The sequence below is a fragment of the Homo sapiens genome, chromosome 5, assembly GCF_000001405.40.
Source record: "Homo sapiens chromosome 5, GRCh38.p14 Primary Assembly".
Classification (NCBI taxonomy): Eukaryota; Metazoa; Chordata; class Mammalia; order Primates; family Hominidae; genus Homo; species Homo sapiens.
In genome coordinates this window covers 16,065,584-16,091,452 of record NC_000005.10, presented here as the reverse complement: position 1 = coordinate 16,091,452, position 25,869 = coordinate 16,065,584, and the positions used below count along the sequence as shown (strand labels likewise).

General features: G+C 38.9%; 1 protein-coding gene across 2 annotated transcripts in view; it reads left to right on the top strand.

Moving 5' to 3' along the window:
• The window catches only part of MARCHF11 (membrane associated ring-CH-type finger 11), a 112,653-nt gene extending 88,339 nt beyond the window's left edge, over nucleotides 1-24,314 (top strand). Inside the window, exons 3-4 of one of the 2 annotated variants that reach the window (NM_001102562.3) lie at nucleotides 372-564; nucleotides 23,660-24,314. In NM_001102562.3, coding sequence (NP_001096032.1) covers nucleotides 372-564; nucleotides 23,660-23,982 — 516 coding nt within the window. In that variant the 3' untranslated portion in view covers nucleotides 23,983-24,314. The remainder of the gene's footprint in view (nucleotides 1-371; nucleotides 565-23,659) is intronic. The other variant, XM_047417230.1, reaches the window with a different exon arrangement.
• The last annotated feature ends 1,555 nt before the right edge of the window (nucleotides 24,315-25,869 follow it).

Here is a 25,869-nt window from a genome sequence, read left to right as displayed (position 1 = left end):
ACCAGATAGAGAAGTTCTCACCATGTATGTTCAGAGTGTATTTAATTTCGTGCATGCATGAAAGATAATAATGTGATTTCCAGATACTAAATATTCCTTAGCCATTCACACTCAGTACTATTATCTGGAATCAAACTAGATTAAACTTACAGAATGGTGAATTACTGAAAATAATGAAGTTAAGGCAAGTCATTAATCTTTATCTGCTTCTCTATTTTTTATAGCCTGGATGAAATGAAAAAATTCATTTGGGGTCTCATCAGATTTCAAAGGGTCTAACATTATGAAAAGAAACACAGGACTGAAAATGTTTTTTTTTCTTTTTTAATTATACACAGCTCCTTTCTTACATGCCTCTGTTTTTCTTTTAGTGGCAGAGCATTTCTATAACACTGGTTGAGAAAGTTCAGATGATTGCTGTAATCCTAGGATCCCTGTTCTTAATAGCCAGTGTGACTTGGCTCCTCTGGTCAGCCTTCAGCCCCTATGCAGTGTGGCAGAGGAAGGACATCCTTTTTCAGATCTGCTATGGAATGTATGGTTTTATGGATCTAGTGTGCATAGGTAAGACCATGACCTTCAACGTTAACACACTGTCAGTAATCCATTTCTTTCAGCGATTACGTTTTCACCATTCGGATCTAATAGAGAATGTTGTGGATTGACTTATCTCAGTTCTCCTGTTAATGAATTAGCTGCGGGTCACAATTGGGCTGCTTTTCTAAGAAAGCATAGCATCTATATTCCCGTGTAGTTTGAAAAAAAATTAACAGGATAATGCCCATTTAAAGTGAGATATTGTGCAACTTAAAGAAAGGAGGAAGGGTTGAATAAATTATTTGGAGTGAGTGATATAAGGATAGTAATTTATTTCTAAGGAATGAGAGCAAACCAGTTTCCCTTTACAAAGCTGGGGAAGTCCTGGCTGATGCAAATGGCGGTACTGTATTGTGCGTTTGGGGAGAGGACAGACATCTCGATGTCTTACATCATGATGACTGTGCAGATTCTCTAAGGGCAGAAAGGGACCCCTTGGAAGGTTAGGGACTTGGGAACAGTTTTCCTTGCTGGCCTGTGTCTCTTTGTTTTACTTAATAAACTCAGTGACTTAGAAGAGAAAAAGTATCGAACATTTTAGCTAAAATAAACCCTACAAAAACGTTACTTCGGTGTTTCCTTTGACCCATCTGTTGTTCCCTAGTACTGTGAGAAAACGGAAGCCAATCATGCAGCATTTATGTGGCGTGTGTGAGGTGCACAGGCATCGCGATGGTGACCAGTCGGCGAGGGGTAGAGCAGTGTGGGTGGCTGTGGGGAGGTACCACGGCATTGGGAGCATTTTCCTGCTCTGATGTGGCAGAAATGCACAGGCTCCACCCAGATCTACTGAATTAGGAACATCAGGGGTGGGGCCCAGCCATCTGGGTTTTACAGCCCCTCTGAGGTTCTGATGCATGCTGAAGCTTGAGGACTACCAGCTTCAGCGGATGGATGCTAAGCTTGGGATCAAGAGACTTGGTTTCCAATCTGGGCCTCTGCCAGGGCAGGTCACCTTCATCCCTCCATACTTCTGTTTTCTCACCTATAAAAATGCAAAGGATAATTCCAACCATGCAAGTCTAAATAAAGGAAATAATGATTATAAAACAATTATGTTATTAATTAGAAGTTGTAGATTAAGTATATTTGATTAAGTTGGAAACATTGAATAACTTTGAGATCACTTCAACTTAATGCCTCTACTTACTAGAGCTTTAATTTGACTAGCAATTTTAATATATTCAGTCATTTTTTCTAAAAGAATTCTATAAATGTTTAAAATATTGTCAGCATGATTTTTTTTTTTTTTTACTTTTTTCTTTCCTCCTTTCTCACTAGTACAAGTCTAATAGGAAAGAAAATGATCAAATTTCAGGCCAGAAAGAAAAAAATAAAAGAATGAAATGTTTTGAATAATATATAAACTGAAGAGATGTTGCCGGAATAATTGAGCTAATCATGTATATGAACAGTTTGCATGAAATGTGATAATGCATATGAAAGCATTTGGAAGTTCTAAATCTTTATTCAAATATAATCTCTAGGGCATTGCTCTAATAAAGAAGAATCACAAAATTGATCCACAAATTGAATCCCTTAACACATTCAAAGACAGTGTTTATTCTGTCTTTCAGCATGAATGATATAAAATGAGGTGTTCCATTGATATTAAAAGGGGAGATGCAAAATAAAAGAGCCAGTTAGCTCCCAATCCAACCTGGAAAGGAAAAAAAGTCCAGTTGACTTTCTTGCCCTCAGTATAAACACTCAAAAAGACCATGCATTTCCTGGTCAGGAAATGATTTTTTTTTTTAATTTCAGAACTTGCATTTAGTGCTGAGTTATTATGTCTTAAATTTTGATGACTAATATTAATATTTTGATCAAGATTATTACAGTTCTGGTTTCAAGAGCAGAGACATATGAACAAATAATCTTTTAGTAATATATGACAATTTCAAGCTTCTCTTTTGAAATTTGAGCATTTGCCCATTTTATAAAGTCAAATTTCTTAGAAACAAAAACAGTTGCCATTTTTCTGGAGATACTTGGGAGAATGAGTATTTTATCTGAGTCTTAAATATTGACGGCACTTTTCATTGTGTTTTGGCTCATCAAATCCTAATTTTATCATTCCATGATCTATTTGTATATTTTGAAAAAAATTAAAGAATTCTGATTGAACATTGTTTATTTTACTTGGCAGTTTCACTAATTAGTCTGTTCTGGCTTGGAGAATATCTTAATTTTTTTCCCCAGTAAATTAAGAAACTATTATAGTAAAGAAAGCAAAATACTCCTAGTCTAACAATAGCCAATTGGATTGCAGCCCCGAAGATCTCCTGCTAATATTTCAAATTAATTCACATGTCTGCAAATTAAATGCAGACAGTAACAAAGATTATATTGATTGTTCCTTAAATACTCCCGACTGGAAGATTTAGAGGCAGTGTTAGTGTGAAAAGTAGGTTTACAACTTTGTGTCCCATTTCCTCAGCTCAGTTTGATAAATATTTCCTAGGAACTTTCTATGTGTTGAACAGTGCTAGGTTCTGTGAATAAAAATAAGAGTCACCCACTTTCCTTCCCCAAGGAGCTCATGAGGAGGACAGGCAGGTAAGTAAGTGATTAGAATACAGTGGGATGTGCACAGTTGTGGACGTATGCACAGGAAGGGGTAGTTGAACACCAGGAGGGATGAACTCTGCGGTGCTGTGTGTAGGGAGAGGAAGGTTTCAGGCCGATTTCATGGGGAAGCAATAGCCAAGCAGATGAACAGATACTTGGCAAATAGAGAGCTGGCCTCCTACTTGCCATGGGAAGATGTGAGATTGGCTCCCCATTCAAAGGATTTTAATGTAATTGGAGACATCCCTCTTTCCTGTCTGTCCAAGCTTTCCAAACTTGGTTCTACCTAAGTAGAAGAAACAGGTTGGCAGCTTCATAAATATTATTTGAAAAAATAATTCTGAAAATCTGTAGAAGATTATTCCAGAATCCAAAAATGTTATCATCCAGCCAGTCTATGTAATGCTTGGGAGAGTTGGATTGCTAAATAGAAGTTAAGATTTGGAGAACATTTGTTTACTTGGGGAAATTTATTTACTTATTCCTAGGCACAGTGAATTTGTTTGTTGCTTTCATTCATAATTAATACAGTTTCTTCTTTCCCAATATTTAGTTTTTTTTTCTTGCTATTAACGTTTTGAGTTCGCTCAAGGGTCTAGCCGCTATCATAGTTGAAACATCTAGATCAGGGCTATTCAAAATAACTTTCTGCAAGGATGAAAATATTCTGTATCTGTGGCATCCAATTCTATTGACAGCAGCTAAATTTGGCCATTGAGTACTTGAAATATGGCTAGTGAGATTGAGCAGTTAATTTTCAATTTAATTTAAATAGCCACAAGTGGCTAGTGACTATTATATTAGACACAGATTCTACATAGTGGAATGGTAAGTGTATAAGAGCTTGAATAACAGGTTTCCCTTTGTCTCTATAAATGGGTTGCATTTCCTAAGTGATAAAGGAATTCTTTTCCAAGAGAGGTGAATAAAGTGAAAATGAGTTTGAGAATTAAGAGAAGGGTGTTAAAGTATGTGTGATTGCCAAGAGTTAGACAGTGATAAAGGAGAGACATGTTTGACAAATGACTCTTTTTGTTACTGGAGTTTTTAAGAATACTTCTATGGATCAAATGTGAATTTAATTTTCAATCTGTACTTATTACAAAGTTCACATCTGTTTTAAGGAAATTAGAATGTAAAGAGATTATATCTGGGGAGTGCTTCTACTTGTTTAAATAGATGGCATGATTGTAAATCAGGAAAACTAATAGAAAGGATTTAAGTCACTTTAGGATTTAAGCTAGTGGCAGTAATTTAGGGAGAAGTAACAGCTGAGGAAGCTCATGTTGGCTTCCCACTAAAAAAGATTTGCACAGTGGACAAAGGAAGATGAGCAAACTCAGAAATGAAGTACACCTGCCCGGCAGAAGGCCTTGGGCAGAGGATTTGCTTCTTCACTCCACCCTGGACACTTTGAGAAAAAATAGAAGACCATCATTTCCATTGACCCTTTGATTCAAGGGAAGCTAGTGCCACAAGAAGAATATGTTTATTAATGACTAAAAGTTTGAGGGACCAGAAGAGGGCCATGTGATGACAGGATTTATTTGATTAACTTGCATCTAAAAGGTGAAGGCTGTCACCAAGTCACTTTAGCATCTGATAGAACCAGATGAGGTGAGTTCAAGTTCTGGTTAATAGAAGCAGCAAACCAAAACTCTGTTATCGTCAGTGGTATTTGCAAAATAGAGATAGTAGTGCTTGTACCAGCTCTAATCAACACCGCAAGTTAATGGCAAATCCAAGTCTGGAAATGTTTTGATCTTCCCTCAAGTACTATAGGAAGATACTGATTATGTTTATAACACTTAAAAACACGGATTGCTTTGGTCTCTTAAAATTTTTCCTAATTGTCCACATAATATACAAACACATGTGAAATTTGTGTTTATAATTGTGAAATCTATAAAGTTAAAAAAAGACCACTTAACTCACACCCCCAATTCTGCTATGCTACTCCCTTTGCAGAAATGTCCCCTTTCTGCATTTTGATGTTTATCATCCAGATTTTTTCATTAGGTTTACGTGGGTTTAGGTAAATGGATACTTCCGCATTTTATTTATAAGTGAGATCATACTGTACATGGTGTTGAGAAAATAGTCTTTTTCACTCAACGATATAATCTAGAGATCTTTCCCTGTTATGACAGATGTACAACAATGTATTTAAACTTTTTTCTACTGATGAATTTGTATGTTGTTACCAATTTTTGCCTTTAGGGACCATGCTGTAAAGGACATCGTTTTACATGAATATTTCTTTTAGCACAATTCTGAGAAGTGGAAAGTCTGGGTTGAGTAATAAGATTTTTTTTTTTTTTTTTTTTTTTTTTTTTTTTTTTTTTGAGATGGAGTCTTGCTCTTTCGCCCAGGCCAGAGTGCAGTGGCACGATCTCGGCTCACTGCAAGCTCCACCTCCCGGGTTCATGCCATTATCCTGCCTCAGCCTCCTGAGTAGCTGGGACTACAGGCGCCCACCTAATTTTTTGTATTTTTAGTAGAGACGGGGTTTCACCGTGTTAGCCAGGATGATCTCGATCTCCTGACCTCGTGATCCACCCACCTTGGCCTCCCAAAGTGCTGGCATTACAGGCGTGAGCCACTGCGCCCGGCGGAGTAATAAGCTTATGTAAATTTTGATAAGTCCTTTTACATTGCCAACTAAAAAGGCTTTATCAGTTTATCCCCCCCCCGACCCCACCCACCGATACATATGAGGTCCTTTTTCCTCATACCATGCCAACTATGGATATCATCACTTGTTTGACATTTTAATCAGTGGATTTAACTACACTTAACCATTCGAGTAGTTTTCTTAAAATTAATTCCATAGCTATTTAAGTTTGTGGGACAATTTTATCTAAAAAATAAAAATAAAAATGGCTCACATAGGTCATGCCAATGTGCAGCACATCCTGCCTGATGTTTTTTGGGATCGCAGGGATGCGACATGCAGGGACATAGACGAGCTCTAATCTGTAAACACTAAGAACTGATCAAGATCAGAGACCTTTGCCTCTCAAAATCCCTGCCTTCTTCAGCACACTTTAGGAGTTTTTGGATCACTTTAAAAAAAAAAATCTATTATAATTTTAACGCTACGGGGATTTTATTTCTTAGTTTGTCTCTTTTTAGTGTAGAAAGTGCTTCCTGAAATTGCTTCAAGAAAAATAGCTCTCTCTGTGGCTAAAGTATTGATCCTGTTATTGCCTGTTCTTCATATTATTTTATTTCTCAAAGCACAAGCATGGACAATGGAAGAGATATAGGCGCACACACACACACACACACTCACTCTGATCCCTGATTGATCCCTGATGTATACCCATGAGGAACCAAAAATATCTCTCTTGAGGCTCTTTTGAAATAATGAATTAAAGTATAATGTAATTGTTTATGTTGTCTTTCTTTTGAAAGCTACAGAGATTAGGGAATTTTTAAAAATAACCTGAGATATGCCAGAATGAGGATCAGATAAAAATATCTTCTTATTGTACCAGTTATATTTAATACTAAAAAAAAAAAAAACTGCTCCTTCTACAGAAAGTTCATGCTCTCCAACAAACTTTTATTTTCCTGTACTTTGAAATGAAATAATTTTTCTTTAAATCCATGTAAATTCTTTTTTTTTTTTGTTTTTTTGACACAGAGTCTTGCTCTGTCACCCTGGCTGGATTGCAGTGGCGTGGTCTTGGCCCACTGCAACATCCATCTCCTGGGTTCAAGTGATTCTCCTTCCTCAGCCTCCTGAGTAGCTGGGATTACAGGCACATACCACCACACCTGGCTAATTTTTGTATTTTTAGTAGAGACGGGGTTTCACCATGTTGGCCAGGGTGGCCTTCAACTCCTGACCTCAAGTGACCCGCCTGCCTCGGCCTCCCAAAGTGCTGGGATTACAGGCATGAGCCATCGCACCTGGCCTATGTAAATTCTTACAGTTATTATTATAGCCTTTTAAAAAATCTGTTTGTCCTATTTGATAATATATCTAGCTAGAGCTACTTTGGCATGCACAAGAAAACTACTTTGAATTACCAGTTGGTAATACATTCACATTTCATTATAGAATTTCAGCATAATAAATACCATGTATTATTATGGTTTTAGATGGATTATATTGGACATATATTTACATTTTTTAAAGTGAGGGTAATATTTTTCTCCTGCTTAACTTTGCTACTTTTTTTTTCCAGATGGAGTAGCTAAAAGTTTCACGTAATCTAACATTTTATTGACACGAAACTTAAAATATACATTTACTAACTCTGTGTTGTATGAATAAAGGTGAAGAATTTTGAAAACGAAATTCAGGATAATCAAACTCTGTGATCACAAATAAGTTTCCCACATAGAAGATGACTACTTGTCTATTTAAAACCAGTGTTGCTTCCCCCTAAAATGATGCCTTTAGGTCATCGTCGTCCTCCTTGTAGTTTGCTTTCTATGAATATAAACCAGCTAGAATAAGGAAAGCATAATTAAGTAAATAAATCTACTGCTAAAGAAAAAAATTCTAATCCATTTCAAACAAAATACACATGACTTTTAGACTATCTCCTTTAAAAAATTTTTCATGCCCTCCGGTATCTCTCAGCATGATTCAGGAGTTGACAATGATTTCTTAAATTATTTTAGGTTAAAAACTTACCTAGTGTAAGGAAAGAGAAAGAAATTAGCATTAGAAGTTGAAATATGCCATAATTTACAGCAGAAAAAAATGAGTTTGCCCAAGACCGCAGGAGAGCCTTAAGTTCATTGCCACACAGGTTCATGAACCATAGACGAGCATGCTTGAAAGTGTAATTGTTGGTAAGGCCTTTGGATTGTTGTCGATAGGTAGCGATTTCTTAAGCTGTAAAATATTTATGAATAAATATGAAATTTATCAGGTAGTTTCAAGTGAAGAATGTAAAACTACCAAGAGAACAATCAAAATGTCCACTGAAGACTTTAGGGCTTATGTGGTTTGGGGATGTCTGAGTAGACTAAGCTCTTTCCTGGTCTCCCTGTGGAGAGCCAAGACCACCAGAATCCAGTGTGGTCTGATTCGGGACCACTTGCACAGTGAAGATACTTTCTCTACGGGAAGTGGAGACCACAGCTGCCAACCACCAACAGCCCCGTGCATCTCAGAGCTGTACAAGCAGAGCAGCTGCACACCATTCAAAAGTGTCATCAATTTTCATCAAAAGACTTTCATCACAAGACTTTTGGAGCCCAAATCCAACCATTTGATTACCACTCAATCACCGCCACCATTACCAAGCCTGGAATCTGAGCTCCTGGGGTCACTGAGGATAGCCGAGCTTTGGAAGTTGACAGGTCAGCCAGCATTCACCCATGGAGTGGGGGTGCAGAAGGCTGCTTACCTGCTGAGGCTGACACTTTGGGTTACATGGCAGGCGAGTTATAGGAGGTGGTTTTGCTGTGTCTATCTCATTTTGAGTTTCATGGGAAGTATTAACGTGGATGTGTCTGCATAAATCATGGGGCACGTGAAGAATGAAGCTCACTTTAAACACTATTTAGCTTAATAACCAGGAGAGTTGATTAGCCTAGTATTTCCTTTTGGAGACTTCATATCACTGCAATTTTCCCTCCAGACAGAAGTATATCACCCGCCTCTGCTGCAGGAAATGCTTCCATTTCCTGATTTATAATTTGATCTGGGAACTACATTTTCCTGAGCACCACAATTTGACTACTAAGGCGACCTTTGCACAACTGCTTCTGCAGGAAGGACAGGAACATTCTTCTCCTCTTGCCCAAACCCCTGTGAGTTTCCCTTCAAATTTCATCCCAAGTGGAGGAGCCCTGGGCTGTGAGGTTGGCCGTGCCTGGTGTCTGTTACTCACACAGACATGACTGTTGCAGGTTGGCATGTTCTGGTAGCTCATTAGGAATCATTTCTTAAATTGAGTAGAATTCCTTTACAAGCACAGATCATTATTTCCTGGCTTCAGACTATCTTAGCATGCTTCGCGCCCCAGGAAATGCCTCAGCTTCATTTAGAGAGAGTCTGATTCAACGTGATGAGCCTGAAACACAAGCAGCAGCTTATCCTCCAACAGGAGTCCCTGCCTCGGATCCTTCATGCTTTGAGCACATACTGGGAAAGCCCCTGGAAAGCGGAGGCAGAGCAGCCCTTTGTGATGTGAAATTGTCAGAGGAGAAACAACGCTTTATCCTTTATATGCTTTGAGAAGTAGGCCATTATTTTTTTCTCTTCTCTGGAGGTACAAATTATGGGCTTTTCTATGCCTTAATCATACTGATGTTCACTGATGTCTCTAAAGATTATTATCATAGTTGGTTATGAGTGATACCATTGCCTTTAAAATCCTGGGAAATAGCATAGAAGGGAACTTGTTTTTGCTGCTTGCCCCTTAGTGCTGTGCATGGAATGGCCTCTCAAGGCTAGTTAACCCTTTAAGGCCCCCTCAAGGGGGGAAAACACCCCAACCTAACACTTTGCTCTTATTTGACTCTGTAAAATTCAAGTTCTTATGGATAAACATTAATATAATTAGCAGAACAGCAGACCAAATATGTTATTGTTGAGTTTCGTCTCCTCCATAGGAGATAGTGTGACACTGTCAGTTGTCTCTTTCACTGGGGGCAGTCTAGACAAAGCAGCATTAGTAATCTGTCGAGCCAATATTCATTGCGTATTTACCGTGGTGCTGAGCCTGGAGTGCGGGATAGTGGTATAAATAGAACAAGGCTTGGCAAATTGCAGCCCGAGGGCCAAATCCAGTCCACCGCCTGTGTTTGTACAGCCCGGGATCTAAGAATGGCTTTTACGTTTTTAAATGGTTGAATACATTTTTAAAAATATTATTTCATGACATGTGGAAATTGTAGCAAATTTAAACTTTGGTGCCTTTGGATAAAGTTGTACCGGGATGCAGCCATATCCATGTATTTATGTGCTGTTGATGAGAAGTTGTGACAGTGAATGAAAGGTTAGCACAGCTTGAAAGATTTACTATCTGGCCCTTTACAGAAAAGGTTTGTGGAGCCCTGGAATATAACAATTCCCTACTTTCCACCTGAGGAAGAGGAGACAGCCAGGGAAATAAGCAATTATAGCCTGAAAGTGCCAGGAGAGAAATGTATGTGAGAGCTAATGGGGAAGGTTAATTACACTTAGGACCAGCAGTCTATGGGGGAGAAGAATTTTAAGGAAGAGCAGGAATTAGGATGGGGCCCCGAGAGAGGCAAAAGCCTAGACCTAGTAACGTATGAAGTCCTGTCATTTTTAAAGACATCGTATGAAATCTGGTATGGGAAGAACAAAAGATGTTTGTTGAGGCATAGCAGTAAGGAAAAGGAGCCTGTGGGTGGAGCTCGGGAGGGAGACCAAACTGAATGCTCAGGAAGCCCCAGAAGGATCCCTGAATGTGGCTGATCAAGATTAATATTAAAGAGAGGTGTTTGGTAGCGTGGAAACATAAAGGAGAGTAGGGATGAAAAAGTGAGAAATATTATAATAACCCAGGCAATTGATTAGGCCTGCATTAAGACTGCTGGGAAGCTGCTAGAATTAAAAGGGATTAATCACAAGATATGGTGATCAGCTGGATGGAGGCAGGATGGAAGGGGTGGGGGCGCTAAGAGCAAGAGACCCTCAAGTGTCATTCACAGAGGCTGACTGGGAGATGGGCCATCAGTTGCTAAAACACTGGCTATCAGAAGAGGGCTAAGGGAGAGAAAGGTCATAGGCTCATTCTGAGTGTTTTCTTTTTGCAGAGTTTCTGGGGAATCCAAGTGGATGTGGCCAGTGTGCACCCAGATTTAAGGGTCTGGAACTCAGGCTAGAGGTTGGAACTGGAGATTTGTATCTGGTAGTTGAAACCAGTGTCTGCAGAGAAATGCTTTGGTGAGAGGAGCAGCAGTTTGGGGAACACGGTGGAGAAACAGGAAGGGGAGGGAGAGGATCGTGGCTGGAAAAGGAGTGGGGTCAGGCACATGAGGAGGAGGGAACTTCTAGGAGGAGGAGCAAGTGGCCAACAGTGCCAGATGTTCTGTCAAGGGTTAGGTGAAGTCAAGCCAACAATCACTCACTGGACTTGGCAATGTGGGGGTAACGTGGATGGATGCGAGACCGCAGTGAATTGAGAATGGCTGGGATGGGCAGAAGGGGGTTCAGAGGTGAGTTCACAAATCTTAGCTGACAAAGGACACAGTTAAATGAGGGTAGAAGCCAGAAGGAGGTGTGGAATCGAGAAAGGTTTTTGTTTGTTTACTTTAATAGTAGTGTTAGGCGTGGGTGGATGCTGAAAAGAAAGACCCAGAAGAAATCAGAAGAAAGAGTGAAAATCCAGAGATGGGAAGGGGCAGCTTGATGTCCCTGGGACTGAAGAGACGAGAGCCCAGCACCCAGGAAGGGCTTTGCCTTGCACAGGAGGGATCCTGTGTCCTGAGGGGAGGTGGGCACAGCTGGAGGCAGCTGTATATTCTGCTCTGAGAGAATGAGACATTGAGAGGCCTCCTTTCAAAAGATGCCTCATTTCTCAGTAAGTAGGTAGTGTGGCCATCTGCTTAGACAAAAGCACAATGTGGGAAAAGACTCGGAGGAGAGCAATGAATGTGATGCTCAGCTGCTGAGGGCCCTGGGGAGAGGAGGCTGAGCCCCCTGCAGAATCACTGGGCATGACTGAGCACCTCCTTGAGGCCAGAGCAAGGCCACAAGATCCACAAGGCCATGTGGCTATGGGCTGTTGCCCAATAGGGATGAAGAGTAAGTGCAGAGAGGTGAAGTGGTGAGACTGGGTTAAGATTGGGTCTTGTTCTCCAGAGTTTCTGGAAGGCAGAGCAGCAAGACCAACCTTGCCTTTCCCCTCAAGTGAGGAGAGAAGGGCTCCAGGATGGGCTTAGCTTTCTAGGCTGCTAGGGAAGGATCCAAAGCCAGAAAGAAGGTGGTGCATTGGGAAAAGATCATGCGGTCTAGGGCCTCAAAGTCTTTAGGAGGTGGAAGTGGGTGCATTGAGATTAAGAAGGTGGGTGAGTGGGAGGCATTGGAGGTTGTCAACAATGGGATGGGAGAGCTTCAGAGCTTGGAATTGGAATGGTTTCTGGAAGAGCAAGGCCCAGGCTGGGGCAAAGGATGAATAGTAGAGGGCAATAGGTTGTGTATGTTAGGCCAAGCCATCCACATGGACCCTGAATCACATGGGTCTAGGGGGATGGAGCAGGCTCAGGAGTCAGGGGTCAAACCATCCATCACCATGGAGGGTAGCTGAGAGGCCAGGAGGACACATCTCCCATGGCTTTATCCCATATATGAGTGTGCACGTGTGTGTGTTTTGTGTGGCTTTACCCTGTCACTCCATGGCTTTCCAGAAGAGAGGCTGTAGGAATTCCAAACACATGAGGCTCAGGAGCAACTGCATAGCCTCAGAGAGATCTGAGTGTATCCCCAGGAAGTCTAAAGTGAGCTTATGTAAGAGGCCAAATCAACATGGGAATGGGAGGCTTTCCTTGGAAGAGAAAGCAGAAAGTAGACTGTGCAGCAGTGAGGTCACACCATTACAAGAAGAGCCACCTGTCCCCATCCCTCACTGGGGAAGGCCCAGAGGAGGCCACTCCCTTAACCTGAAAACCTGAAGATTGTACTTCAGAACGAACCCTGCCCCTCTGGGGAACTGTTGGATTTGTACTATTTTGCACCAAAGAACTTTCTTTCAAAGAAATGTGAACATGACCATTCTTCTAAATGATGCTTCCATGCAGAACACTGAGGATGTGGAACCGTGGGCACCAGCAGGGCAGGGGAGACAAACTCTGGGCCATCGAGAACCACACGGCTGAGCATAGAAATGAAGCCCATAGATGTTTTCAGCCACTTCCAAGTAAAGAATTTGACATAGGGTTTTTAAAAATGCATCTCCAGTAATATCTAAGATTGTATTTACTGTGATCTGGGCAACATTCTAAGCATTTTACCTCGATTTTCCCACTTAATTTTCATAACCACCTTAGGAGGCACAGATACTGTTATTCTCATCTGAGAGATGAGAAAACAAAGGCACAGATGAAGCAATTTCCCCAAGATCAAACAGATGGTGAGCAGGACCCAAAATAAGAACCCAGACCCTGTCACTCCACAGCCTGTGTAATGAGTAAGATGACCCACGTACTTCCATTTATTGTTTGGTAAAAACCCCTCTTTATATGCTGAGCTTGAATAACTTGAAGAACTTACGAAATGTTTTCTATATAAACAATAAAGTGAAGCTATTTAAATTTCTGTCTCAAACACTTAAGACATGGTATAGGGAGTAAATACCTTTTTAAATAATAGATGAACTGATTTTAGATCAGAAATGGAGAAAACATTTTCCTTGAAAGCCCAAAGTATTCATTCATTTATTCTAAATTAATAGAGTGCAAAAGAGTCTAAAACAAAAGGGAACATTATTAAGGGGAATGGAAAACACGGAATACACCATACCAAAAGCCATTTCTCTCTTCCCATGGTTCTGAGTGAAACAATTTCTTAATAAGAATTATCTATGTAAAGAATCACATCCCAATCTTGAATTTTCTTACTAGGACATAGAATAGAATATTAAGAAAACTACTGTCTGAGCATTTTTATATTTAGGTTAAAAATTTCATTAATAGTTTTAATTATAAGCATCTTACTGATGTCATGCAGTGAAATAGAAGAGTTACAAATTTTAATTATACTTAGATGGTAGTTTCTGTTTGGAATTTTTGCCTTCTTCCTGTAGGATTTAAGAGAAGTGAAAAATGAAGCCACCAAAAATGAAATAGCTTATTACTAGTCACAAAGATAGACAGGTTTTAATTAGACATTTCAATTTAGATCTTTAAAAATATTATTTTCGCTCCCCCAAAACAGAGCAACAAATACATGTATGGTTTACTGTGAAAATTATTAAAATCGTTTTTTTTTGTGAGTTTGCAGTAGACAGTTTATCCGTTGGAGAAAAACAGAAAATTAGTTGTATTTATTTTCACTTGCCACTAGGAAAAGCCCACCAAGTCTCTTAGAAAAAATTCTTAGAAAGTCTCTTTCTAAGAACTGGCTTTAGTCCATATACTAGAGTGTGGGAAACAAATGGAAATCTACCAAAGCAATTCCCCATGCTAAAACCTTAAATTAACACAGAAGATAGACACTGATAGGCTTTTTAAACCAAATACAGTTTTCATTGAATCAGAGGTTGCAGAGTTATTTATATTCATAAATTGTGAAGGTTGCCGTAATCCTCCTATATCCTATCCAAACGCTGCAATGTACCCTTTAGGATAAAGGCCAGAGAAAAATTTACCCATCTCAGCCTTTGCTGTTACAGAAAAGAGATTTTAATTTAATTCTGTCATCTCCTTCATAGTCAGTGTAATATCCCTTCTGGCCACTGGCCATTTCGCAGGCTGAGGAGACACCGGTGATGACTGGCTTTGGCCGAGGATGGCTCCCGATGTCTGAGTTGTTGCAGAGCAAGCACACGGGCATCCTGTGTCTGGCTCTGATTCTGGGCTCAGACACTTCCTAGGTGCAGGCCCCTGAGCAAGCCACACTACATCACTTCTCTGGGTCTCAGAGTCCTTATTCCCCAAAGTGAGAGGGTTGGATTAAATTATATCCACTACTTTTTAATTTTGAAATTGGGTGACTGTGCTTGTCCACCAGGCTCTTGATGTTCTTACCCCTGTGATATATGATGCTCCCCCTTTGCTGCAAGGTGTTTCATCTGTCCAAGAATTGAGAGACAGAACTGAAACTTCATTCAACTAAAATGTAACTGATTCCAGTCCATTCTACCAATTATAGGAGAACTCTGGGATATCTTTATGATATTTATTATCTATAAAAGTATTGGACTTGTTCTTTCATTTCTTTTATTGAAAAAACATATCCATGGTTTTATTTTCTTGAGCACTGTAGGGAAGAAACTTAGATAATATAACAATTTTTCTCTCCTGTGAATTCTGTTAATCCATTTAAAAAAAATGATAAAAAAGATATACCATATTTTTTGTAATATATAACCTTCACAGCTTTTGAGAAATATTCTTTGAATGTGCCAGTAGTGGGTTTGTTCTCCAGGGTTACTAATTAAAAGATCAGGAGATACTCCCATCTACAAGGAATTTTAAAAATCAGTTAAATGATTGATTCATTGGCTTCTTAGAAAAGCAAGAGGTCAGAGGAATGGACAATTTCCTTTTTACTCTCTCTATTTTGCCTGAAAAGACAGGGAGGAATCCATATCTGTCTCCTAGGTTTTAGGCCTGGGCACAGCCCAGTATCTCAGTTTGTGATTGATACAGGCAAACATTTGATGACCTGGCCAGCAAGACAGTGGAGGAGACAGCTACAGTTTGCTGGGGCTGAACACAGATCCTTTCAAAGAATTTTAGTTCTTTTGCCCTGGCCATGTCCTCTGCCCTGCCCATATGTTCCCCTCACCACCGTTACCCCCAAAGACCAAAACCCACTCGTGAACTATGGGCCCCAGTCCCTAAACTCTTTTCCAATCTCATCCTGAACTGCCTGTCTCAGTTTCTTTGGCATCTGCAAATATTACTTTAACCTTTCAAAGAACAATACTCAAGATCCTTTTCTATTTTCATAGAGCAGTCACAACTAGATCAAGTCATTCCTTGTGACCCCTTAGATCCCAGTGATAGCTACTCTCCTCTCTCTCTCTCTCTCTCTCCCTCTCTTTCAGCAAAGACTGAGTTTTGACCTGGGTACTGAGATAGGAACAGGTTCCCAAAGGCAAATAAGACATGGTTCTGTTGTCAGGGAGCACACAGCTGATTAGGGATTACAGGCATAGAAGCAAATCATTATAGTACAGGTAGTAAGGAAATCAGTGCAGATATTTTCTGTGTAGAGTGGTGGGCAGTAGAAGGAGGGAAAGATTGATTTTGAGTACATCAGAGAAGAAATTGTGAGAGAATCTGGATCTTGAAGCATAATTAATACTTCGTTGTGCAAATGTAAGAGTGGGCATTCCAGGAAATTATCTGTCTTCTGCTTTAAGCTCAGGTTTGCCAAGAAGACAGAATTAGCAGAAGTTTGTGCAAGAGCAGAGAGGAGTTGTGTTGTCTCCTAGGCTTCTGGTTTAATTGACGTGGGGGATGGTCATTAACTAAAACAGGGATGGCAAGATAAGGACAAATTTAACCTGTGTCAGAACCTTTCAGAAAAGGGTGTGCTTCATTCACTGCCAATTAGTAAAAGATGAGACTCCATCTGACAATTGGGCTTTGCCATCTTGTTCTTCCAGGCAGTGGTGTCATCAGCATTGGAGATCCAGCACAGATGTGCTTTTTGTGTCCAGGCCGATGGCTGCAGACTTCATGAAGCAGACAGGGGGACATAGTGTCAGTGTCATAGAATGAACACTGATTTTCTTGTGTGTGCTCCTGGAGAAACTCTGACCTCATTTAGGATCTTCATTATTGCACTAATCATTTCTTCATGTGTGCTTTTATCTACTTGGGGGTGGGTTGGATCATCAATATTTAGAAATTAACCAGCCCCTTTGTGTCAAGGGTTTTATTGTCACGGTAAGTTTCACAATAATTCATTGTCCTTATGTTTCTTGCACGGAGGATTTTATTTTATCAGTGGTAATGATGCATCTGTGTTTGAGCCTTTGAGCTGTGATGATCAACGTGCCATTCTCAACCTGGTTCTGTGAATTTTACATGGTTCTCAGTCATTCTGAGAAGAGCAAAGCTCTATACCATTTATAGTCAACAGTAGAAAAACCAACATGTCTTGGTTAATCTCGCTAATGGTCTATCAATGTTATTTATCTTTTCAAAGGACCTGCTTTTTGTTTCATTTATCTTTTGTATTTTTGTTTCAGTTTCATTTAGTTCTGCTCTGATCTTGGTTGTTTCTTTTCTTCTGCTGTGTTTGGGTTTGGTTTGTTCTTGTTTCTCTAGTTTGTTGTGGTGTGACCTTAGATTGTCTATTTATTCTCTTTCAGACTTTTTGATGTAGGCATTTAATGCTATGAACTTTCCTCTTGGCACCACTTAGGCTGTGTCCCAGAGGTTTTGATAGGTTGTGTCAATATTATCGTTCAGTTCAAAGAATTTTTAAATTTTGATCTGTATTTCATTGTTGACTCAATGATCGCTCAGGAGCAGGTTATTTAATCCCTATGTATTTGCATGGTTTTGAGTATTCCTTTTGGAGTTGACTTCCAATTTTATTCCACTGTGGTCTAAGACACTACTTGATATGATTTCATTTTCTTTCTTAAATTTATTGAGACTTGTTCTGTGGCCTATCATATGGTCTATCTTGGAGAATGTTTCATGTGCTGATGAACGGAATGTATGTTCTGCAGTTGTTGGGTAGAATGTTCTGGAAATATCTATTAAGTCCATCTGTTCTAGGGTACAGTTTATAGGTGCATTTTATGTGGGCTACTTTTTTACATTATTTGTTTTTATATGGACAACAGTGGAGATGCATATTCACAAAATGCTCATATATAATTAAGACATTGTAGTTTCCAGATATCTGGGTTTTAGGATATCAATTTATGACAGCTATGTTTTGTGAGCTTAGTGACTTCTGTGATGACATATGTGTATTTTTCAGTCTTTATATCTTTACGTTTTATCTTTTGCATATTTTGCAAATATATTTGGATATAGTTCTATATATATTATTATATATTATATATTACTTTACATTACATTTATATATAGTTCATATACAGTTATATGTCTATAGCTTCATATATAGTTCAGTCCAACAAAAAACATTCAGTACCTACAGAAGTAACCATGACTTATGGTTATTGCTTTTATGCATATTAACAAGACCCAACAATAGATAGTGACTTTTAAAGTGATTACCTCTACACTCACATCTAAGTTTCCACAACTCCTGGACATTTAAGTTTGGGGTAGGTTAAGAAACAGCATCAGGAGGATTCATGCATTGTATTATATTCTAGCAAAGATCATCACAACAAAGGATGTCTTGGGCCACAGTCTCGTTTGATTAATCCTCTTGGAAGCAACCATGCTCTGGCCTTCACCAAGTAGCAGCAGAAATTAAGGAGTCAAAAGTGGCACCAGTTTATTAGATGGACTCTAAAATGCTCTTCTAGCACATGGGATTAAACAGAGCCCAAAGTCCTCATTTGCTTCCTGTGCACACTCACTTCTCAGAATGACATGGAATTATATCTATGTATTATAGATTTTGGGTGTATAAATATATGAGATGTATTGGGACTGTAGGTAAACTGCATCACCCTCGTTTAAAACATGAGTAAATTAAGTTCTGGAGTTTGTGATTTAAGCAAAGTTTATACAGTTAGTTTCTATCTTTACCATCCTTGTGTGTCACTGACATTATTATACCTCTAGGAGTGCAGGTGAAGCATCCACTCCCTCGTCTCCCTTCCCACCCACAAGGAGAAAAGGGTTGGCAAGGCTTATTTGAAAGCAACACTGTAGATGATGAGAGCTTTGCCTGGGAAGCCACACTCACCCCCAGCCCTCCCAGGAAATGCAAGCCCCTGATGAAACCACAAAGGAGTGCAGGGCAAAACTCTGTGTGCTGTTCAATCAAAATGACCCTTGGGAAAGCTAAATAACACAACTTGTGGCAGATATTTGGCCAGCAGCATATCTGGTGTCTGCTGAAGACTCTCTTTCTGATTTGCAGACTGCCATCTCCCTGTTATGTCCTCACATGGCCTTTCCTTGGTGTATGTACACACACACACACACACACACACACACACACACACAGAGTGAGAGAGAGAGAGAGCACTGATGTCTCTTCTTTTTGTAGTAAGGGCATTAATCCCATCATGCAGGCCCCATGCTCACAATCTCATCTAACCCTGATTACCTCCCAAAGGCCTCACTTCCAAATACCATCACACTGGGAATTAGGGCTTCAACATATGAGTTCACTGGGGACACAAATGTTTAGTCCATAGTAACCTCTTTTATTTGATTATTCTGTGATTACAAGAGACTTCTATACTTTGGAGGTTTAGGATGGATGGGACTGTAGTACTCAAGGTTTACATTTTAGACAAATTTGTGTTCCAATCTCAGCTCTGATTCTTCTGTCTTCATGATGTTGGACAGCTCTCTAGGTCTGAATTTTCTCAACTGTAAGGTTGTTTAAAACTAGTACCTGTTTGTATTTGTTAGTCCTAGCTACTCAGGAGGCTGAGGCAGGAGAATGGTGTAAACCTGGGAGGCGGAGCTTGCAGTGAGCCGAGATCACGTCACTGCACTCCAGCCTGGGTGACAGAGCGAGACTCTGTCTCAAAAAAACAAACAAAAAAAACAAAAAAACACACAAAAACTAGTACCTGTTTGTACAGTTGCAGTCAAGATTAAATGAAAATTGTGCGTGTAAAGCTCTTTGCACAGTATTTGGCACAGAATAGGTTCTTGATACAAATTTATCTTATGAATCAGAAAAACAACCAAACTTATCCAAAAAAAAGCTGAGACTGGTAACACAATATGGAATTTTTTGACCAGTGGTTTGGTAATTAAATCAGATAAAATTTGTTTGTATTTGATCATACATTTTGTAAGTCTCTATTAATTATAACACTTCACATGTTAAAGTAAACATAGACAAATGGTATGTGTATGTGTGTGCACGAGTATGTGAGCATGTGACCATATGTACCTGGATAGCCTTCCCCATCACTTATTTGGGTAAATAGCCTAATACTAGAAAGAATTTCAAGTAACACACTACTTCAAAATTTTGATTTTATTTTGCTTAAATTAAAAACTGTTTATTCAATGAAACCAGAAATTATTTAAGCCTGCTTTTTCAAGATTAATCTCTAACAAAGATGTTTCTTTGCGCTTCAGTAAGGTGATGGTCCAGTTAAACATTACTAGTAAGAAAATGACAAAAACCAACCAACGAACCACACATACACATGCACACACTCCTCAACTCTCAAAACCTTAAAGTCTCATGAATCACATTTTTTATATCCATGCTGTTAATAATGTAGTGAGTATCCTAAAATATTCAGTATTTACGTTTTATAGAAGTGATCATTGCTTTTCGCTTCATGTAAGCTTAGTGACTCAGATGAAAAAGTACGTCAGCCTGTTCGCATATGAACTGAAATGTCAAGGCGACAATTCATTTGATCATCAGTAAGAAAGCATACTAACAGAGTTTTTAAAAGCTGGATTTTCAACAGAATGAGCCAAAGTTGAATGAATCCTTACCCTGGCTTTAATGATCATAGTAGTCACACCTGATAACCACTAGCACAAAAGGTGTTCGCCGTAACGCCACAGCATTTAAAGAAAAAGGGGGAAAAATGCATGTTACAGAGAACAGCCTTGGGAATGGGAATGGAATTCATTGCATTTCAGTAAAATCTGAGCTTGCAGAGGCCAAGGACTAATTCTGAATGCTCTTGGGGAATAAAACAAAATCTAAACATCGTTCATAACCTACGGCAATTAAAAAGCAGCCTAGGGAGCTGGAAATTCAAAGGGACTGTGTCTTCATGAAAACTTCAAGTAGTTCTCTCTCTTTAAATTTGGTTCAAAATGTACTATAAAGACCTGTGGGATTTGTTTGTGCATATTGGTTAGATTTATGTATTTAGAAAAGAGCTACCAGGAATATATTCCCAGAAAGTGACTTTAAGCTCTAGTAAGTGATCTGATTTCTGGCCTTGCAAAGGAAATCAATAAGAAAAGAATAGGATCTTGCAAAGTCAGTAGTTTCCTCTGGTGAAGCTGTGCCCCTGCACCCTCCATCACTGACTTGCCCAGAATGAACCTGTCTCGGGCTGTAATTGTTTTGGGATTAGTGCGAATGTGTGTTCCCCACCACATAGATTCACTATTGATTTTTAATTAATAATAATGTCTTGTATTTATAGAGTTACCGTCCCAGAAGAAGTGTGAGGGCTTCATAGTTGATGAATTCCAATTTATTTTTATACTGCCTGGCTGAATGTAAAGATTAGGTGTTCTGATTTCATTTTAAGGAGGAAAAATTGAACCCGAAATGTTAAATTATTGACCATGGGGAATTCAGCAAGCTAATAATAGAACCACCAATTAAAATCTGGTAGTATTGACTTTTCATTCTGGCTGTTTCCTGAAAATATCTGATCGGTTAGGTCAACTATGATTATTCCTTTGAAAAAAGAAGTTGATAAAAACAATTATTTGAAATTGTTATGATGAACAGAAGTTTACATTTCTCATTATTTTGGTCATATATAGTAACTGGGCTTAAGATATGTTTGCTTGTTAGACCACATGCATTTTTTGTAGCCTATATTAATATATTTGGAATGCTTGTAAGTCACATGTATCTTTACCTCCTGGTAAGGGACCAATGCAAAACTTAAGTTTTGACATCAGGTAGGTGTCATTTTTCAAGGACTGGGTAGCTGTATCACCACCTGGCATTGTTTTATCTGATGGAAAAAGGTAATAGTCTGTCCAAGAAAAACATGCTCAAAACACTTACCTCATTGTACCTATGGGAAGGTTACTAGCAATCTTTCAATCACGCATTCCTCCAGCCTTAAAAACTTGGGACTCTGATTTTCCCCGCTTTCTTCCATTACAGTTTCTGTCAGTTTTCCCTGGGAATTTATTACTTTATTTCTCTATCCTATCCTTACTGCTATCACTCTTCTCTTCATGTAAATGCGGTGACCTCCTTACTATCTCCCCAACTCCCCAAATCCACTTTAGATTAACTTTTCTAATAAATTCTCTGTTATTTTTGAAATTTTGAATTATTCAGTCACCAAAAATACACAGAATAATATGTTGAGCATTAATATCTCCACCACCCAGTTTAAAAAATGCAACATTTGGGACACCCAAATGTTGAAACCCTCTTTGAAGCCACTTCCCAATTTTGTTTCTTTCCTTCCTTCTTCACTACCATGAATTTAGTGGTTATTATTCTCATCAATGCTTTTATATGTCTACCATATATATATGTGTGTGTCTTTATTAAAATGTATAGTATTTATTCATTCTGGTTGTTTCTTTCTGAAACTTTAATTTTTTCATTGTGACTTTGGGATTGTCATTATGGTTTCAGAGGTATCCACATTAATGCAGATGACTATGTTTCATTTTATCTCATTACTCTTATCCATTGGTTCTACATACAATTTATCCATTCTTCTGAGGATAGACTTTGAGATGCCTTGCAATTTTTTCCTTCAAATACAGGCAATTAGGTAGTAAACATTTTTTAACTTACTTCCTTGTTCACATTTGTGAGAGTTTCTCTAGGGCATATACCCAAAGGTCTAACTGCTAAAAGGTGGGATCTGCTCATTTTTAAATTTATCATTAAAACATGGTTGTGCCAGCCGACATGCTCTGCTCACATGCCGTACTTCATCTACCAAAGGATATTCATTGATCTCTCTACCAACTTCAGTGGACTTTCAGCCTCCTCAAAGAGAAGAGCTCTTCCTCACTTCACCTCACCTGAGAGACCTTCCCCAGGGACTACTTTTTGTGAGGGATCACGAATTCAAAAGCCTTTGGACAACACGCTGAAATGTAAATGTGTGAAATGCAGGGTGTGTGACAGATCTGGAGTGGATAGTGGAGATGACACATGTGCTAGTGCATCCTGTCTGACTTAACGGTTTCCAAGTTTGCTGTATTACTTTATTTTCCTGAGAGTCTGTCTCAGAAACGTGGAAAGATCTGATTCACTTTATAGCAGCAAAGAGCAAGGACCCTGGAGCAAGCCTGCCTGTTTTTGAATCCCTGCTCTCCACCGCTACTAGTTGTATGTTTTTGAGCACGTTTCTGAACATCCCCAAGGCTTGGTTTCCTTGTTTGCCAAACGGGGTAAGTGCTAGTACTTAAATTTATAAGACTACGATGAGTACTACATGGGATAATATTCATAAAGCTCTAAAGTAACTGTTCAATACATTTTTGTTGAATTGTTGAGGAGAGTACAAATAACAAAATTTACATGGTTTTTACTGTGCGTCAGGCATTGTTTTAGGAACTGGGGAAACAGTAACCTTAGTATCTGTAATGACATTAACATCTGTCTCTTTCTCAAACTAAACTGCCAGCTGGGTTCAAGCCCCTAACACATTGCTTGGCCACACAATGAGCACTCAAGAATATGTGTTAAATGCATAAATGAACCTAATGATTCTCCTAAGGCAATATAAATTCCCAAAGCAAAATCTGAGCCATGATGGAGCAAGGAAATTATATCCACAATAGCTTGATTCGCTACATATTAGTGTATTCTCATTCTTCAAAAATGGATTATTTCTGTGTCATATGGGTAGTAACTTGCCATTAGCCATAATATTTGAGTAAACAGAATACTGTATTTTTGCTGATGATGAATAACATAACTATTTTTGGATCCCTTACTTGTATACAAAATAACACTCCCAGCCTTGGATTATCACCAGTCTTTTTGGTTTTTTATTTTCTCAAATTTTAGGTCTCATTGTTCATGAAGGAGCTGCAGTTTACAGAGTGTTTAAGCGCTGGCGAGCTGTGAATTTGCACTGGGATGTGTTAAATTATGACAAAGCCACAGACATCGAAGAAAGCAGCCGGGGAGAGTCTTCCACAAGTAGGACTTTGTGGTTGCCATTGACAGCTCTGCGGAACAGAAACTTGGTCCACCCAACTCAGTTAACCTCACCAAGGTTTCAGTGTGGCTATGTGTTATTGCACCTGTTCAATCGGATGAGGCCCCATGAAGACTTATCAGAAGATAACAGCTCGGGGGAGGTTGTGATGAGAGTGACTTCAGTGTGACAAAAGCATAAGATGATGCAGTGTGGACCACCCTGCACATTTTGCAATGTAATTGCAGTGAATGGCAAAACCATAGCACTTCTAAAAACACATCTATGAACTTTTTAAAATTTATGCTTTTTATATGAACATTTGAATTGCAAATACATTTTTCTGAGAAAAAGAGTCCTCTTGTTCTTCGTTGTCTGGTTTGTCACATCTTTTATAAGTTGGTACTTGAAATCATTATACATATAATTTAACTATACTTGGTTAAAAGAATAATGAAAGTTATCCTTAAGGCCAAAACTATTTTTTCTTGCTTGTTTTAAATATATTTTTATGAAAGCTTTCGCTCTGTGTGTAATTTTTCAGACCTGTTACAAATGGTTAAGAGTTTAGGATGCTGTGGGCAGATTCCAAAGTGCCTGTCAGTTCTGCAACATAGAGAGCTCTGAGGTGATGCTCTTGTGCCTCGTGCTGGTTGGCAAACTGAAGCATGACTTTTTGCTGTGTTGAAGTAACCAGTCACCAGGAATGCATGGTCTAGGACTTATGTCTTGTTATCTAATTTCTGAAACAGAGAGCTTGTAAAAAGATAAAAATGAGTGAAATAAAAATAGCTTTACTCCAGTACATATTACATAAGCAGGGCATCTTGCATACTTATAACCCCAAAAGCTCACCAAAATGTTGTGTCCTAGTACCTGCAATAATGACAATGACTAACATTTGCATAGCCCTCCGATAGACCTATCACAATTAATTTAGTTAATTATTAGTGTCTTGAATTCTTTGAGCACCATCTTAATTAGATTTTCTTTTTGTAAAACCTTACATACCTTCTTAAATCATTTAAAAGCTAATCCTATTACTTGGTTTAATGAAGTTCTATGAAATGTGTTTGCCAGCAGTGAGAAGTCTTTTTCTTTCACTAGATGAGTATTTTTTTAAATGAAAAGAGGAAATGAAAAATGAGGCTATTGACTCCCCAGGAACAGGTTGCGAACTAGCGGTACCTGGGGATTTTCTACCTTCTTATCTACCTAATGGAGGCAATTGGCACATTTTAATGAACAACTGCAGAGCAGATGAGAAGACAGGAAGGATGTTTTCCCTAGAAACATGAATTGAACATGCTGGTTGTTTGAAGTAATCAATGACTAGATTTTAAATCATATAAAATAAAATGCTTTACGTTCTATTTTCTAAAAATAACTCTTGGGTGATTAATAATAGAATAGTTCATGTTTACATAATGGAATACCTCACAGAATAGAATTGTGATTCCTCCATAGCAAATTCTCCCAAAACTTGAAATAATATTTTTCCAGTCAAAAGCTGTGTCACAAATGATAAGGATGTGACAATTTGCAGAAACGTGAAGAATGAATCATAAAAGAAGGAAAATTCAGCCGCTATTTAAGGGCAGATTCAGATGTTGAGAATGTTAAACAGTGTTTCAAACTTTGATTAATTGCTTGTTTTAATCTGATGTTCCATGAGCACAGTCCTGGGTGAGATTCCTGAACAGTTTCATCACTAAGGCAGATCATCAACAGCGTAACGTTTAATAGAGGATAATTGTGGTTAGTATTGACATTACAATTTAGAGCATTGTGTTAAAAATACTGGACTAAGAGACTTTAGACACAAATTATCACTGCTCCACTGCCCTTCGAATTAGTGCACACCTTTGTATTCATATCAACTCACTCGAAAACAAAAAGGGACAGAGGATGAGAACCCCACTTTCTGTAATGACTGTATGGGGTGCATGAGGTGGAGAAGGCTGGAGACAAGCCTGCTTGATGGAAAGGCGAGTGGATGATGGAAATATCCATCAGAAAAAATAAAATAAAAAACACGCGCCCTAGTCTCCCTATTTCCCAAGACCTTGCTCTTTGA